The sequence below is a fragment of the Homo sapiens genome, chromosome 10 (genome assembly GCF_000001405.40).
Source record: "Homo sapiens chromosome 10, GRCh38.p14 Primary Assembly".
NCBI lineage: Eukaryota > Metazoa > Chordata > Mammalia > Primates > Hominidae > Homo > Homo sapiens.
In genome coordinates, this window is record NC_000010.11 from 62,207,950 (window position 1) to 62,223,402 (window position 15,453).

The 15,453-nt window shown below is 34.0% G+C and overlaps 1 protein-coding gene across 8 annotated transcripts in view; it reads right to left on the reverse strand.

Moving 5' to 3' along the window:
- Positions 1 to 15,453, reverse strand: part of RTKN2 (rhotekin 2) — an 84,945-nt gene that overhangs the window by 24,050 nt on the left and 45,442 nt on the right. For 3 of the 8 annotated variants that reach the window (XM_011539457.4, XM_011539460.3, XM_011539456.3), the window contains exons 7-11: positions 15,289 to 15,383; positions 10,246 to 10,352; positions 9,169 to 9,300; positions 7,475 to 7,516; positions 7,080 to 7,142 (exon numbers count right to left, since the gene is read on the reverse strand). In XM_011539457.4, coding sequence (XP_011537759.1) covers positions 7,080 to 7,142; positions 7,475 to 7,516; positions 9,169 to 9,300; positions 10,246 to 10,352; positions 15,289 to 15,383 — 439 coding nt within the window. The other 5 variants (XM_017015844.3, XM_047424717.1, NM_145307.4 and 2 more) reach the window with 3 other exon arrangements.

The window sequence follows — 15,453 nt, forward strand, 5'->3', positions numbered from 1 at the left end:
AACTTTTCTTGATTTGTAAATAGATTTGAGATTATTCACTGTGTAATTTTAATCTGTAGCTGGATTTGCTTTTCGTCAGTCTGCAATTTTTCACTCCATGAGATGGTGTTGTTACCTAGAGAATGCCAAGTGAAGTCAATAAAAACATAAACTGGGAAGTCAATTTTGTAATAAAATATAAACTCTAAAGTCACAGGAAAGTTTCATTTAGGTTTTTAAAAATTATTATTTTGAATTAAAACTGTACTTCCTCCTCTTCATTTCCATATACGTGGAAAATTACTAGATCAGGACTAGATTTATAAATTATATATGTTACTTTTGACTATACGACCATAAAAAATGCACCCAGATTATGGTCTCTAAATACTCTTTACTAAAAACATCAGAGCTTTTCAAATAAATGGCTGACTCTCAGCCTGGGCCAGGAAATGTATAAGATGATTCTGGAACATCTTGTCCTATCAGAAATCTAAGATTCCTAGGGTTATGTCAAAAGGATTCAAGAGTCAACTCGAAGGGGCTTCTACTAGTCAAACATTGGACATTGATTAGAACATTGACTAGAATAGCAATGGCAATGGACAGACACATGACATGTATTTAAATCCAAAAATTCAAAACGATATTTAAAAATGAACTCATTGGTCACCTGTGAAAGATGGTAGGAAACCATCTCATTGTTTTGGTAACTGACATATAAATGGGAAAAAACAAACAAGCAAACAAACAAACAAAAAAACAAAAAAAACCCCAAGCACTTTTCCTGTCTTCCCTATAAGAATTGTACTTCAGGGTAACCAAATAGCTGATGAAGTAGAGGCATTCCAGCTATAACGAATGTAAAAATACTACCAGTTTGTAATCCTTAATGAAATAAAGGATCTAAAACAATGCTCATCAGTGGTTGTTAAGATGAGTGGAAGACCTAGATATATGATATGCTTCTTGATGAAAGTATATGACCCTTCCTAAAATGTATTCTTACTAACCAACCAACAAATCTGAATATGATCCAAAAATATAAGAAAAAAGGCAGGCTGGGTGCGGTGGCTCATGCCAGTAATCCCAGCACTTTGGGAGGAAGAGGCAGGTGGATCACTTGAGGTCGGGAGTTCGAGACCAGCCTAACCAACGCGGAGAAACCCATCTCTACTAAAAATACAAAATTAGCTGGGCGTGGTGGCGCATGCCTGTAATCCCAGCTACCCGGGAGGCTGAGGCAGGAGAATCGCTTAAACTTGGGAGGCAGAGGTTGCAATAAGCCGAGATTGCTCCACTGCTCTCCAGCCTGGGCAACACGAGCGAAACTCCATCTCAAAAAAAAAGAAGAAGAAAAGAAAAATGGCAACCCAGGTATGCAACTAGAAAAATCCAGACTATGGAAAAACCCTGCAGGATAAAAGATCAATTTCTTCAGCAAATAAATTGTCTATGGTGTGTGTGTGTGTGTGTTTGAAGTGGGGAGTTAGAGGTGTGAGTGAGCATAAGCCAACATATTCATTATTATTATTATTATTGTTAAACTTTTAAGTTCAGGGGTACAAGTGCAGGTTTGTTACATAGGTAAACTTGTGTCATGGGGGTCTACTGTAAAGATTACTTAATCACCCAGGTATTAAGCCTAGTAACTATTAGTTATTTTTCCTGATCTCCCTCTTCCCACCCTCCACACTCTCCGATAGGCCTCAGAGTGTGTTGTTACCCTCTATATGTCCATGTGTTCTCATCATTTAGCTCTCACTTATAAGTGAGAAAATGTGGTATTTGGTTTTCTGTTCCTGTGTTAGTTTGCTAAGGATAATGTCCTCCAGCTCCATCTATGTCCTTGCAAAGGACATGATCTAGTTCATTTTTATGGCTGCAGAGCATTCCATGGTGTATGTGTACCACATTTTCTTGATCCAGCCCACCACTGATGGGCATTTAGGTTGATTCCATGTCTTTGCTACTGTGAATGGTGCTGCAATGAAAATATGTGTGCATGTGTCTTTATAATAGAATGATTTATATTCTTTTGGGTATATACCCAGTAATGGGATTGCTGGGTCGAATGGTATCTGTCTTTAGGTCTTTGAGGAATCAACACACTGTCTTTCACAATGGCTGAACTAATTTACACCCCCACCAACAATGTATGAGCATTCCTTTTTCTAAAGAGACTTAAAAGACCTAATCAATCAACCATAATATGTGGCCCTTATTTGGATCCTAACTCAAAAACTTACAAAAATTGAGACTAGGGATCTTAAAGACTGCCTGGATTTTTAACGATATATTAACTACATATAATTATATCTACATATGACAACTTATATATAAAACCATAAATTTTCTTAAGTGTGACAATTGGAATATTTACAAGTAAAATGATATGGTCTCTAGGATTTGCTTCAAAATATATCTAATGTGGGGGCAATGTGTGAGAGTACACATGGGTTCATTTATACTATTCTATGTATAAATTACCTTGAATTTTTTTCCAAAGAAAATAATTAAAAAATAAAATACAAACACAAAAACCAAAGTCAGTCTATTATTAATGCCTCTTTCTTGGCTGTAATGCAGATATCTCACATCTTCCTTACAAACATGCTGTAAAGATAAATGAGTTATTTGAAAAGTGCTTCGTCTGAAGTCCTGTTAATCAGCAATGAAGACAAAATGTTGGTGCTAAAAACAAGCTTTAGACTTTATATATACTCTAATGACAAAAAAGGATATCTTCATGTATACGACAAGGAATGTTTGAAATATGTAATGCATAGCTGTAAGTTAAACCAACCATGAGGTATGATTAGTATCAGTTTAATATAATTATTTTAAATTTATATTAATTAAATCAGATGTAAACTCCTACAGGAAAATGTTTGAAAAATTATTTTTGCTATATTTACTTTTAAAAATCTGAATAGTTGATATGATTAGATATTAAGGAAACTAATATAATTGGATTAAAATCCCATGTGCTTCATAATAATTTTGCTTTCTAGGTTCTATGATAAATATAATAGTTAAAAGTATTTTCAAAACAATTTATCCAAAGTCTACTACACTAAATAGTGTTATTGACTTGTTTAGTACAGATTTTATTAAAATGAATGATGTATATAATATTTAAAACAAGAAAAGGCTTGATCTCAAAGACTCACACTTTTTTTTAACCGTCACACCCCTCACCATATTGACAATGGATAAAGCTTTAGTTAACAAAATGCTTTCTATAATGTGTAGGAAATTCAGTTAAGTACCTGTTATTGAGAATGTCTTGCTCAAGAACATTCTTGTGAAGTTTTCTGAATTTGAAGCAATCACTTTGAAGTAAATCACCCTTTCAAATTTGGATTGACAATGGGAGGGGAATAGCTCTTAGGCTTTTCTTCCCTTAATGTGACTATTTCCACAGATGGCTCCCTATGAAAATTAATGAACTAACTTAGCCTTACAAGAAATGCCATTTAGAAGGACAAGAATTATAGCTTGAGAACAGATCCTGTGATCTAAATAACAGAACTATTATTTATATACCTTAGCAATTGTGAAATTTATGTTTTCAAATAATTTTTAAGTAGCATTAAGGAAAATTATTTTCATGAGAAAAGAAGAAAGACAATCAAAAGACAAAAAACTCTGATTTGTATTTAATGTTTAACATTATTAAGCTTAAAGATCTTAGAGACCATTAGAAATATACTAAAAACTAAAAGAGAAACACTATTCTTTTTTCTTGAGATGGAGTCTCACTCTGTCACCCAGGCTGGAGTGCAGTGGCACAATCTCGGCTCACTGCAACCTCCACCTCCCAAGTTCAAGCAATTATCCTGCCTTACTTAGCCTCCCGAGTAACTGGGACTACAGGCGTGTGCCCCCATGCCTGGCTAATTTTTTGTGTTTTTAGTAGAGATGAGGTTTCACCCTGTTATCCAGGATGGTCTTGATCTCCTGATCTCCTGATCCGCCCGTGCTGACCTCCCAAAGTGCTGGGATTACAGGCGTGAGCTACCGCACCCAGCCGAGGAACACTATTCTTAAAAGTTTTACTTGATCCTTACCTGCTGTATCAGAAAATACCAAACTGGTTTTTATCCTTTGTTTATTTAAGAATACATTGTTCGAGACCACCCTGGGCAACATGGTGAAACTCCATCTCTACTTAAAAAAAAAATATATATATATGGGGTAATTAAAACTTTTAGGTAAATAATAGTTATGGCCAGTAGCTAGCTGTTTTGTAGGCACTACCAACAGGGCACAGCGAAAACTTCAAAAATTAGCCGGGCATGGTGGTAGGTGCCTATAATCCCAGCTACTCAGGAGGCTGAGGCAGGAGAATAGCTGGAACCTGGGAGGTGGAGGTTGCAGTGAGCCAAGATGGCACCACTGCAATCCAGCCTGGGCAACAGAGTAAGACTCTGTCTCAAAAATAAATAAATAAATAAATAAATAGGAAAAAAAAAGAATATACTAAGAGACTGGGTATGGTGGCTCATACTTGCAATCCCAGCACTTTGGGAGGCTGAGGCAGGCAGAATTGCTTGAGCCGAGGAGTTTGAGACCAGCCTGGGTAACATGGTGAAACCCTGTCTCTACAAAAAATACAAAAATTAGCCAGGTGTGGTGGCACGTACCTGTAGTCCCAGCTACTAGGGAGGTTAAGGTGGGAGGATCCCTTGTGTCTGGGAGGTGGAGGCTGCAGTGAGCTGTGATGGCACCATTGCACTCCAGCCTGAGAGACAGGGCCAGACCCTGTCTCAAACAAACAAACAAACAAAAAACCAAAAAGAAAACGCTAATAGCATGTCTCCCTTACAAATCTGCAAGGTAAGAAAAACAATCAAAATATCTACATTAGATTTAAAAACCAAGTAATTTAAAACACTGAATAGATAAAAACCTATTAATTTATCACTATATGAGACAGTGAAGGTAGGGCAGGGAGGAAGATAACACTCATCTGCTACCCCTGGAGGGAGTAATATCAACTCCAATATATATTACCAATACCAATGCTATACCAATACATGACACCAACTTCTTACCCTGAAAATTGGCAATTAAGATACCAAGTATTTATCCTGCCTTTTCACAAGAGACTGTAATTCATCCCTAGTTGATAAGAAAAACTTCTTTACAAAAAGAATGCCAAAAGGAAGGACATATGTAGAAGGAAAGTAGTATGAGAAAATCACCCAGAATCTTCCGTGTAATAAGTGATTTAGGCAAAGACAATCACAGGTGGCTAAAACCATTATGTGAAAGATTGTTAGAAAACAAACACAGTCACACAGTGCCAAAGTGTCTCCTCACTGACTACTTGCTAATAGTAAAGAGGGAAGATTATGTTGGAGAGAGGGCATCACCAGTAGTGGCGACAACCTGACATCATGAGCCTCCTAACGGGAGGCTCTATAACGTACTTGTCTGATCGACCATAAAATATTCTAATAAAAATATTTTACATAAATACAATCAAGCCTCTAGACCTCATTTACAAATTAGAAGAATTGTCGAGGATGCATAATCCCTGAATAATCCTGGACTGAAGACCTGAGCTAAAAGGCCATTTTGGGAAAATGGGAAATCTGAATATGGACTGAATATTAGGTGACATAAGAGTTATTTTTAATTTTCTTAGCTGTGATAATGGTATTATGATTATGTATATATATGAAAGGTCCCTATTTTTATTAATAGGAGTTACATGTTGAAGTATTCAGGAATGAAGTATCATGATATCAAAGTCTTATGTTCAAATGGGTCATCAAAAAATATAGATTTAATCAAAGAGATAATGTAAATATGACAAAATGTTAACTGCTGAGTCTAGGTGGTATGTATATGGGCCATCAGTATGGTTTTTTTTGTTTCAACTTTTCTGTACATTTGAATCATTTTGTAAGTTAAGAAAAAACAAAAATTACTTTAAAAGGAAAAATAATTATATAACAGTCATGTTTTAGGAAGTAACAAATATATTTCTTGACTGGGATAGTGCTTGATTTTTTCAATAAGGAGATCAGTGAATTCACTATTAAGAGGGAAGTTTTCAGGTGAATGGAAAAATTCAAAGGAAGCCTGAAGTAGAAGAACTACAAAGAGAAAAAGGCTTCTAAAGAGAAAAACACAGGAAACCAACACTGGAGAAAATTAAGATGGCAATATTGCAAAGAAGGAAAACAGAATACTTTGTCACCAGTTTCATCTTTGAGATTAACAATTAAATTATATTTATTTATATTCTATAATAATAATAAATATATCTTTCCAACCTTAACTCTTATTTTATGTCTAATTTTAAAATGCTCTTTTGTACTTTAGACAGAAGTTATGTACAACGGAAGAGATAATTAAGTCACCAGTCCTCAAGGTCAAATGTAGCTCACATTGTCTTCAAGTATAAGGCTAAATCTATACAAATTACTAAATTAATAATTTTCCTGTGATATGTAATGGCCAATTGTGGAAGAAACACTGGAATTTGCAAGTCTGCTGACTTCAGTCATCTTACAATGCCACTGATTGACTACAAAATCTCATTAGTCACCTGGCCATCAGCCTTTATTACCACAAGGAAAAGTAAATCAATTAAAATAGGTCAATTCAGTCAGGCCATATAAACATTGTCACCACTTTTCTGGAATTAGATCCTTGTCATCAGACTGAAAATACAGACACACTGACTACAATAACACAGTTTTATTATAAATGTTCTCTTAAATTTAAATCGTAAAGTTTCCACACACATGCCTAAGCCATCGCCTATAAGTCTGCTGTGGTTTCATGCTCAGAACCTCATTTTATAGCTACTTTTTAACTTTCAAAATTGATTTACAGTGATATGAAGAGAGGAAAAAGTCTAATTTTGCCTTCCAAATCTGGTCTAGCAGTACGCCTATGAGGAAATAGCAAAAACAGTCCATGAATTTTTATCTATTTTTTCCTACTCATTAGGAAAAGGGTGAGCCATATAATTTTCCTTACTAGTTTGGAAAGTTCTATCTGATCTCTGAGACTATTTCTTCACTTGTAAAAGAAATAATATACCTGTAAAACAGGGCTGTCATCCCTGCTTTGCCTACCTTAAAGGACTGAGATATGGCGAGTTGAATTCCTTCGAGACTGTCTTCAAATAAAACTAATGACTTCAAAAATATCATTTGTTTAGATTACATTTTATTTTATGACTGAATATTCTATGGTATAAAATATAAGAAAAAAATTAGTAGGATTTCATTTTTACTCCTCAGCTATTTAGTAAAAGCCAAAGTAGACATAATCATATACACAGAACTTTTACCAAAATTATTTAAGCTGAATCTAGTGAAATAATTAGTTACATATAGATTTGGAGAGATTCTAAGAAGAAAACTGGCCTGGACTTTTAAAAAATGTCAATGTAATGAAAGGCATAAATAAATAAAGGCAGGAGGTGAAGGGCACAATTTAGATGAAAGGAATCAAAGGAAATGCTGACCAGATGCACTATAGGATCCTTGATGAGGTCCTGGATCAGACACTAAATAAAAATTAGAAATGATATTTTGGGGACAATTAGAGCAATTTCTTCTGTATATTAGATAATATTGTATCAACAATAAACATTTTGAGCATGACAATAATATTATGGTTATGAAAAAGTGTCCTTGGTTTTAGGAGAAATATGCTAACATATTCAGAGAAGAAATGTTACGTTGTTTGCAACTGATTTTAAAATGGTTCAGAAAAAAATTTTAACTAGAAAGAAAGCAAATGTGGCAAAATGTTAACAACAGCTGAAAAGTCTAGATGAATGGTATACAGGTGTTCATTATTCTGTTTCAATTTTTCCATCTGAAATTTTCAAAAGACTAAAGTATGAAAAAGCGACAGGAAATACAACACTGCATAAACCAAACAAAATAAAAAGTTGGCAAGTAATGAAAAAAGCATGTCAATTTTTCATTAATAAAATTATATATTTCAAAAACTTAATTTTCTAAGCCAAAATAGATTCATTATAATACTGATGTATTATGTCCTTGATTTGTCAAAACAAAACAGTTTAAACAAAACAGTTAAATTAGGTGAATTTATATAATAAAAGGTCTCACTAAAAGACTTTCTGTAAGTAAAAAGCAGTGTAATTTCTAAAAGTGGAATAGAAACAGACAAAAATGTTATTATTGGAAAAGATCATGAAACTAAACTCAAGTCTTTATAGATCAGTAGACTGGTACCCACGCGTTTTCAGGAATACAACTATTATATAAAAGGACGTACAACTTTACATTCTTCTTTAAAGGATAATTTCAAAGACAAGGAGAACAAATGTGATGGCTCATGTTTTATCACACACTTCAACTACACCAAAGACAAGCAAAGTAGAACAACTAGAAACAATTAGGGGCAGCCCACAGGCAAAAACCATGATATTTTGGTTTAGAAATGCAATTATTTTAGAGTAGGAATGCTCTAAAAAATGAGGAAAGAAAAATCCTCTAATCAACACTAGACTTGAATAACAGACAAAGCTAAATTTAAGACCGTGAGGTAGAAGAAACTAAGTTTGCCTTATATTGAAGTTTTCCTATAGGATTCTAGATGAAAAAATTGTAGCTAGATTTCAATAGTCTCCTTTGTAACAAACCAGTATATATATACTTGACAAATTTTCTAGGTAGTGTGGTACTACTTTTTAAATGCAGTATAAGCACTCAACTATTCTAAATGGACTGTCAGGCTTTTCTGTTCTGTCAGAAGACTGGACAATTGCCTATCAATCCCATAAGAAATCAGAAAGTATAGTCAAGAATGTCTTTTTATGGCTTCATTTGAATGCTAACTAGAAACAGCATCACTATAATAACATGAGCTAACAATTTATGTTTAATCTCTTAAGTAAATTCATAAAAAATTTAAATATACTGCTAATGTGGAGTTACATTCTCTGCCTTAAAACCTATTTACTGGTATAGATGTCCATTACTATGTTTTCTTAGGAAATATACATTTTCTTATAACAGATAAGCTCTAATAGAAAAACAGAAACAGATTAAATCATATTTATGAAGTAACCTGTTTTTACCAGTACTTCTCTTTTATTTATAAGACAACAACAATGTAAACTGCACAGACAAAAACAAACTTCCTAAGATGTATATTTTTTTCTCAAAATAGCATTTCCTTTACCTTGTTAATGGGTACTACCAAAGCTGGTTCCACTTTAGCTTCAATTTCCTCTGGACTGTAAAAACAATAGAGTTTACCTCCTCGCAAAACACAATACAACCTTCTCCAACTAATCAGACCTTCTACCATTTGCTGAAAAAAAAAAAAAAAAAATCAAGAGACTATCAATTTTAAGTTATTATCACTTTAAATACATCAAAATACTTATCAAGGTTAAATTAGTTATTTAGAATTTTTAAAATGTGATGGAATTATCCATTAATTTGATATACAAAAGGTTAATTGCCCCAAATCCAAGAGTATGTTAATATCAGAGAAGAAAAGTTTGGAATTCTTAAAGGCATTAAGTGAAATGGAGGCAACGATTACCACCTAACTTTTACACACATAAAACCATAGATCAATGGTGTTTTAGAAAAGCTAGTCGATTAAAAATTAGTGCTTAGAATTCTATAGCAATTCATCAAATGACTCAGGAAAATTATAAAAACAATTCTGTATGTTCAAAATATTATTTTCCCTTACTGTTCTCAGAGCATCGGAAAATGTCAACTACCCTTTAAGAATGCAAATTTTCTTTCCTCCTAATGGAATCTTTTAGAAAAAGCTATTGATTCATTGAAGTTCACAATTAATTATTTACTGAATATAAATAACTATGGTTATAAATAAATCAGCAGTAGGTGGCACAGAGGCAGGCAGCTTTGGAAGCTCAGAGTCCTAAACCGTGCCAAACGCTGTCTGCCAGAAAGACCTTTATGTGAAAGGTGTTGAGCAGCCCTCATCAGTTTCCACACGGAGCCCTCTGTTGCTGATTATCCTGTTGCTGCTATTAATGAAGCAGAGGAGCATGGAGAGGTAGCGCCTTAGCCATCAACATCGCAGTAGATCCCTCCCTACCTTGTCATTCTTTTCACCCCGCACCCCCTACAGTTTATATCTGATAACATTTAGAAAACTGACATTTAAAAAAAGACTTAAAAAATACTTCTCAATATCAGAAGGTGAAACAACTGCCTGTATATTAAGATTTAAAGTAGAGCTACAATTGTTGTAGGATATTTAAAGTCCTCTAACCTGCTGATTAAGAAATCCTGCAAATGCATCCTCAGCCATACAAGCTGGCTGGGCAACTAGTCGGCAGCACATGTTGCCATACAGGGGAAGCCAAAATGAAGACTCCTCTATTTAAAGGAGAAAGAAAAAAAAAAATCAAGTTATAAATATAAGTTTATTTAAGGTCATCATACATTTTGATTTTTCTCTTTTTACAATTTTGTTTTGCTTTGTACAGAACATATTTTAGAATTAGTTTCATGTAAAGATTCATCCTACCCAAATACCAGTGCCATATTAAGTGAGAAAATCAAATATGAGAATAGAAAGGACAGGATAATATTAAACTGACAGTTTATAGCATGCTATCACCTGAATAAAAATGAACTGTTTAGTCTCTTGTTTGATTTTAATTATTCAATGAAAGTTGTTCAGAGAATATAAGTGATCTCATTTAATATAAAAACATTCTAATAAAGTAATTTATGTTTGTCAAATTCTACTTTTTGTTCTGATTTTCATTATAATAATTAGAAAAGTGATCCTCTGAATAAAACATTATTTCACTTTGCGAGGCCGAGGCAGGCGGATCACTTGAGGTCAGGAGTTTGAGATCAGCCTGGCCAATATGGTGAAACCCTGTCTCTACTAAAAATACAAAAATTAGCTGGGCATGGTGGTGCATGCTTGTAGTCCCAGCTGCTTGGGAGGCTGAGGCCGAAGAATCGCTTGAGCCCAGGAGGCGGAGGTTGCAGTGAACTCAGACTGCACCACTGCACTTCAGCCTGGGCAACAAAGCAAGACTCCATCTCAAAAACAAAGCAAAACAAAAACAAAAAACATTATTTCAGAGAACTTAAGATAACTTCATCAACATTTTTGGCCCTTCCTCCTCCCCTTCTTTTGCTGAACAATTCAGTCATAAGCCATTAGATAGAGCCCCCAACATGAACATCTGTGCCAGGACTGGAGAAGGAGCTGTGGTGTGCTAGAAATGGATGATGGAGACAGGCAGAATGAGAATGGTGAGTAGCAGGGGCTGCCTGCAGGAGGTATCAGCACCTGAAGGGCCTGAGAGGGTGATGACACTGGGGCGCAGCCTAGATTTGGGACTCTGTCTTGAGCAAGCAGGGTAAAAGAGATATGCCTGGGAAGAGGAGCCTGACATCGAACATTAGAGCCCAATGAATGAAGAAGTAGCCCAGATTGAAGGACAATTAAAAAGCATGATAATTAAATGAAATGTATGATTCTGCATTGTATCCCTCTGCCATAAAGAACATTATTGTGACAATGGGCAACATCTTGAATGGACTCTGAGGATTATATGGTGGTAATGTATTAGTATTCATTTCTTGACTTCAAGAGTGATGATGATGTAGCTGAATGTCCTGATAGTAGGAAATATGTATTAATACATTTTGGGGTACAGACTATCATGTAAGCAACTTGCTGTCATAATTTTTTTGAGAAAAAAAAGATCTTGACATTTAAGCTGAGTGTGGTGGTGTCTGCCTGTAGTCCCAGCTACTCCAGAGGCCAAGGTGGGAGGAGTGCTTGCACCCAGGAGTTTGAGGCCAGACTAGGTAATATACCGATACCCATCTCTAATTAAAAAAAAAAAATCTTGACATTCAACTTGCAACTTTTCTGTAAGTTTGACATTGTTTAAAAAAGTTACTTCAAAAAACATTAAGATAGTCCTTTAATGAAGATACCTACCTGTGTACTACCTATCTATATGGAGGAAAGCATTAAATAATTTATTCTAGACATCAGAGTATAAATAAAAACCAAACATATGGCCCTTAGTTCACACTGGATCACATAAAAATGATTTTTAAAGTTTTGGCTGTGCCCTGTTGGTAGTGCCTACAAAATCGCTAGCTACTGGCCGTAACTATTATTCACCAAAAAGTTTTAATTACCCCAGAATTTTTTTTGTAAAAATAGTTAATATATACATGCAAGGCAGCAAAGGTTTGTAGTAAAACCAAAAAGTTTTAAATTTACCTACCCAAGATTCTACTATAGAATAGTACACAACAATGTTCTGAGACTATTCAAATCTTTTTCATTAATACATTTTAAAGCTGCTATATTTTAGAAATAAGGGGCTTAATCTGGGAAAAATAAATGCACGAGCATAATACATACAATTCCAAAATGCAAACACAAATAAACAAAAGTTATCTTTCCTAAAACAGGCAGCAAATGAAATGAAAATTCTGTAAAAGCATGTATTTCAGTAATACATCTGAAATCAACTTTGTGATTTGTAAATTTAGAAGTTTGAAAGCAAATTTCTTTATATAGGCAATCTCAGATTTATGAATAGCTTATGTTCTAAAAATCTGTAAGTTAGTTGAAAAGTACATCATAAAGAGTAAGAAACACGAAGGATACAATGAAAAAGACTAACATAGGTTTAACAGGCATGCAAAAAGAACAAAAGCTACACAACAGCAGAGGCAGTTTCAAACAGGTAGGAGAGATTTTGTCCAAACTGATGAAACATATCAACAATGTAAAGAAGCTCAAGAAACCCCAAGCAGCATAAATAAACTCTACACCTAATTATACCATGGTAAAATTTTAGAAAACCAAAGGCAAAAATAAATAAAAAGATTACACTCATAGTGGTGACATACTGGCAAATGATTTACAACATTTATAGTAAAATAATAAAAGCCAAAAATGTTGGAATTATATGTTCAATATTCAACAAGAAAAAATTAAAACTGCAGAATTAAGAAATATCTTCAATAATGAGGCAAAATAAAGCCATCTTCAGATAAACAAAAAGAACAAGAAGTCTGATATCAGCATAACTCACTAAAAGAAATTCTAAGGCTTATAATTCAAGCAGAGGGAAAAGTATCCCAGATGCAAGGCATAAGATACAAGTAGTGCACAGAAACATGTAGGTAAATCTAAATAAATATTAAATCTAAATAAGTACTAAAAAAAAAAAGAATTACAATATATAACAATAGCACATAGGTTAGGGAAAAGAGTTTAATTGTTCTAAAGTCCTTGCATTGTCTGAGAAAAGCACAAAACTATCTTTTAAGTTTAGTTTTTAATAAGTATGATTAATGAAATTTTTAGGGGTAAATTCTAAAAAATGAGAAAAAGGATGTATAACCTTAATTCAAACAAGGAAAAATTGCCTTAAAAGGCAAGAAAAAATAACCACGGAATAGGTGAGACAAACAGAAAACACAGGTTATCATAGATTTAAACCTAAATACACAGCTATTTGATATTAAATACGAAAGGACTAAAAGCTTCGGTAAAAAAAAGATTGTCAAATTAGAGAAAAATTAAAATCCAATATAATGCTGTTTGAAGAGGCATGTTTGTAACATAAAAATAAGTACAGTTTGAGGTAAAAGAAGAAAATACACAATTTAAACACATGCATCAAATAACAAAGGTTCAAATTATATACAGTAAAAATAGATATAACTATGGGTCGAAAAATCCACAATCACAGAAGGAGATTTTATCATACCTCTTGTAGTAATATGAAGTATATAGACTACAATCATTACTCCTAACAAATAATTAGCAAATATGGAACACACGGGTGAATAAAACTGACTAATCTATTACAAGAATGAGAATTAAAAAACAGAGATGGTACAGAAAGCAAATATCAGAATGGAAAAGAGGGAACAATGCTACAGAGGCTGCAGAAATTCAATAGATATAAGGACATTATAGAAAATTTAATGCCTATAAATCTCAAAGTTTAGATCAAATAGGTAGATATCTATAAAAACATAACTTATTGAAACTGACCCAAGAAATAGAAAAGCTGAAGAACCCTGTAACTATTAAGAATAATTAAATCAGTCTAAGAGATAAATGGAGACATATGTACAGCTAGGGTAACTGAGGGAAAGGAGGGGTAGTAACGTTCTATTTCTTGACATGTTCTATTTCTTGAGACAGGGTCTCACTCTGTAGCCCAGGCTGGCGAACAATGGTACAATCATACCTCACTGCAGCCTTGAACTTCTGGGGTCAGGCGATCCTCCTACCTCAGTATCCTGAGTAGCTGGGATTACATGCATGCACGACCATGGCCAGCTACTTTTTTTTTTTATTTTTGTAGAGATAGGGTCTCACTATGTTACCCAGGCAGGTCTCAAACTCCTGGGCTCATGTGATCCTCCCATCTCGTCCTCCCAAAGAACTGGGATTACAGGCATGAGCCACCACACCTAGCCTCATAATTATTTTTTAAACTACATATTTACATTTCATGAACTTTTCCCTATTTTTAACATAATTTCTCATTGTGAAACAAAAAAAATTGGTATAACATTATCAATCTTATCAGTACAGAGCCACAATCCTTACAACAGTAAGTATAATTAGGACTTTACCACATATTTTTATTTATTTTGCTTGGAGAAAATGAACAAAAGTAAATAACCCAAATCATACTTCCAAACTGCCTTACCAGCACTGCTCCATATTTTTTCATCACAAGTAAAATAACCTGGGAGAGTAGCAAGTGCTCATGCTAAGTTTTACAAATCTTCCTAATGACCTAAACCCCTTCTTCAGTTTCCTGTATCTTTATTTTGGATAAACTATAACTACCACTGCCATCCAAAGAGAAAAAGGTAAACTCTAAATACCACCGCCATCCAAAGAGAAAAAAGTTAAGATAATTTAACCCTTTCTCTTTCTTACATTCTCTGCTTCCTACTAACAGAAAAGCTGGCTTCCTTGATTTCAAATTTAAAAATAAGTCAGGTCTTTAATTTCCAGCTAGAAGAGTGGTAAAGTCATAAATTCCAAGTCAAAAACAAGGATTGAGCATACCTGAGACCCTTCTTTTCCCACTAAGCCTTGCAAGCAAATCTCAGTGTAGAGAAAGGAAAATAAACTTTTCTCCTTTGGGGAAGAGGGACAGATATATTTTAAAGAACCAACAGAATCACTCATGTCTCCATTATTTAAGCCGATATCCACTTGAGGGGAACATACTATAATTAGAAATATAGACAGAATATATGTAATAAGTAAAATATATACTGTACTTACCATTTCCATTAATAGACAGATTATGGGTCTTGAAACTATCCTCAGCACTTTCCAAGGTTAGGGTAGTGTGAGCTAGCAAATTATACTTTACACCACTAATAGTAAGAAAGAAGACATGTTTTAAGTATTTTTGTATTTCTACTACTACACAAAATATTTGTATGT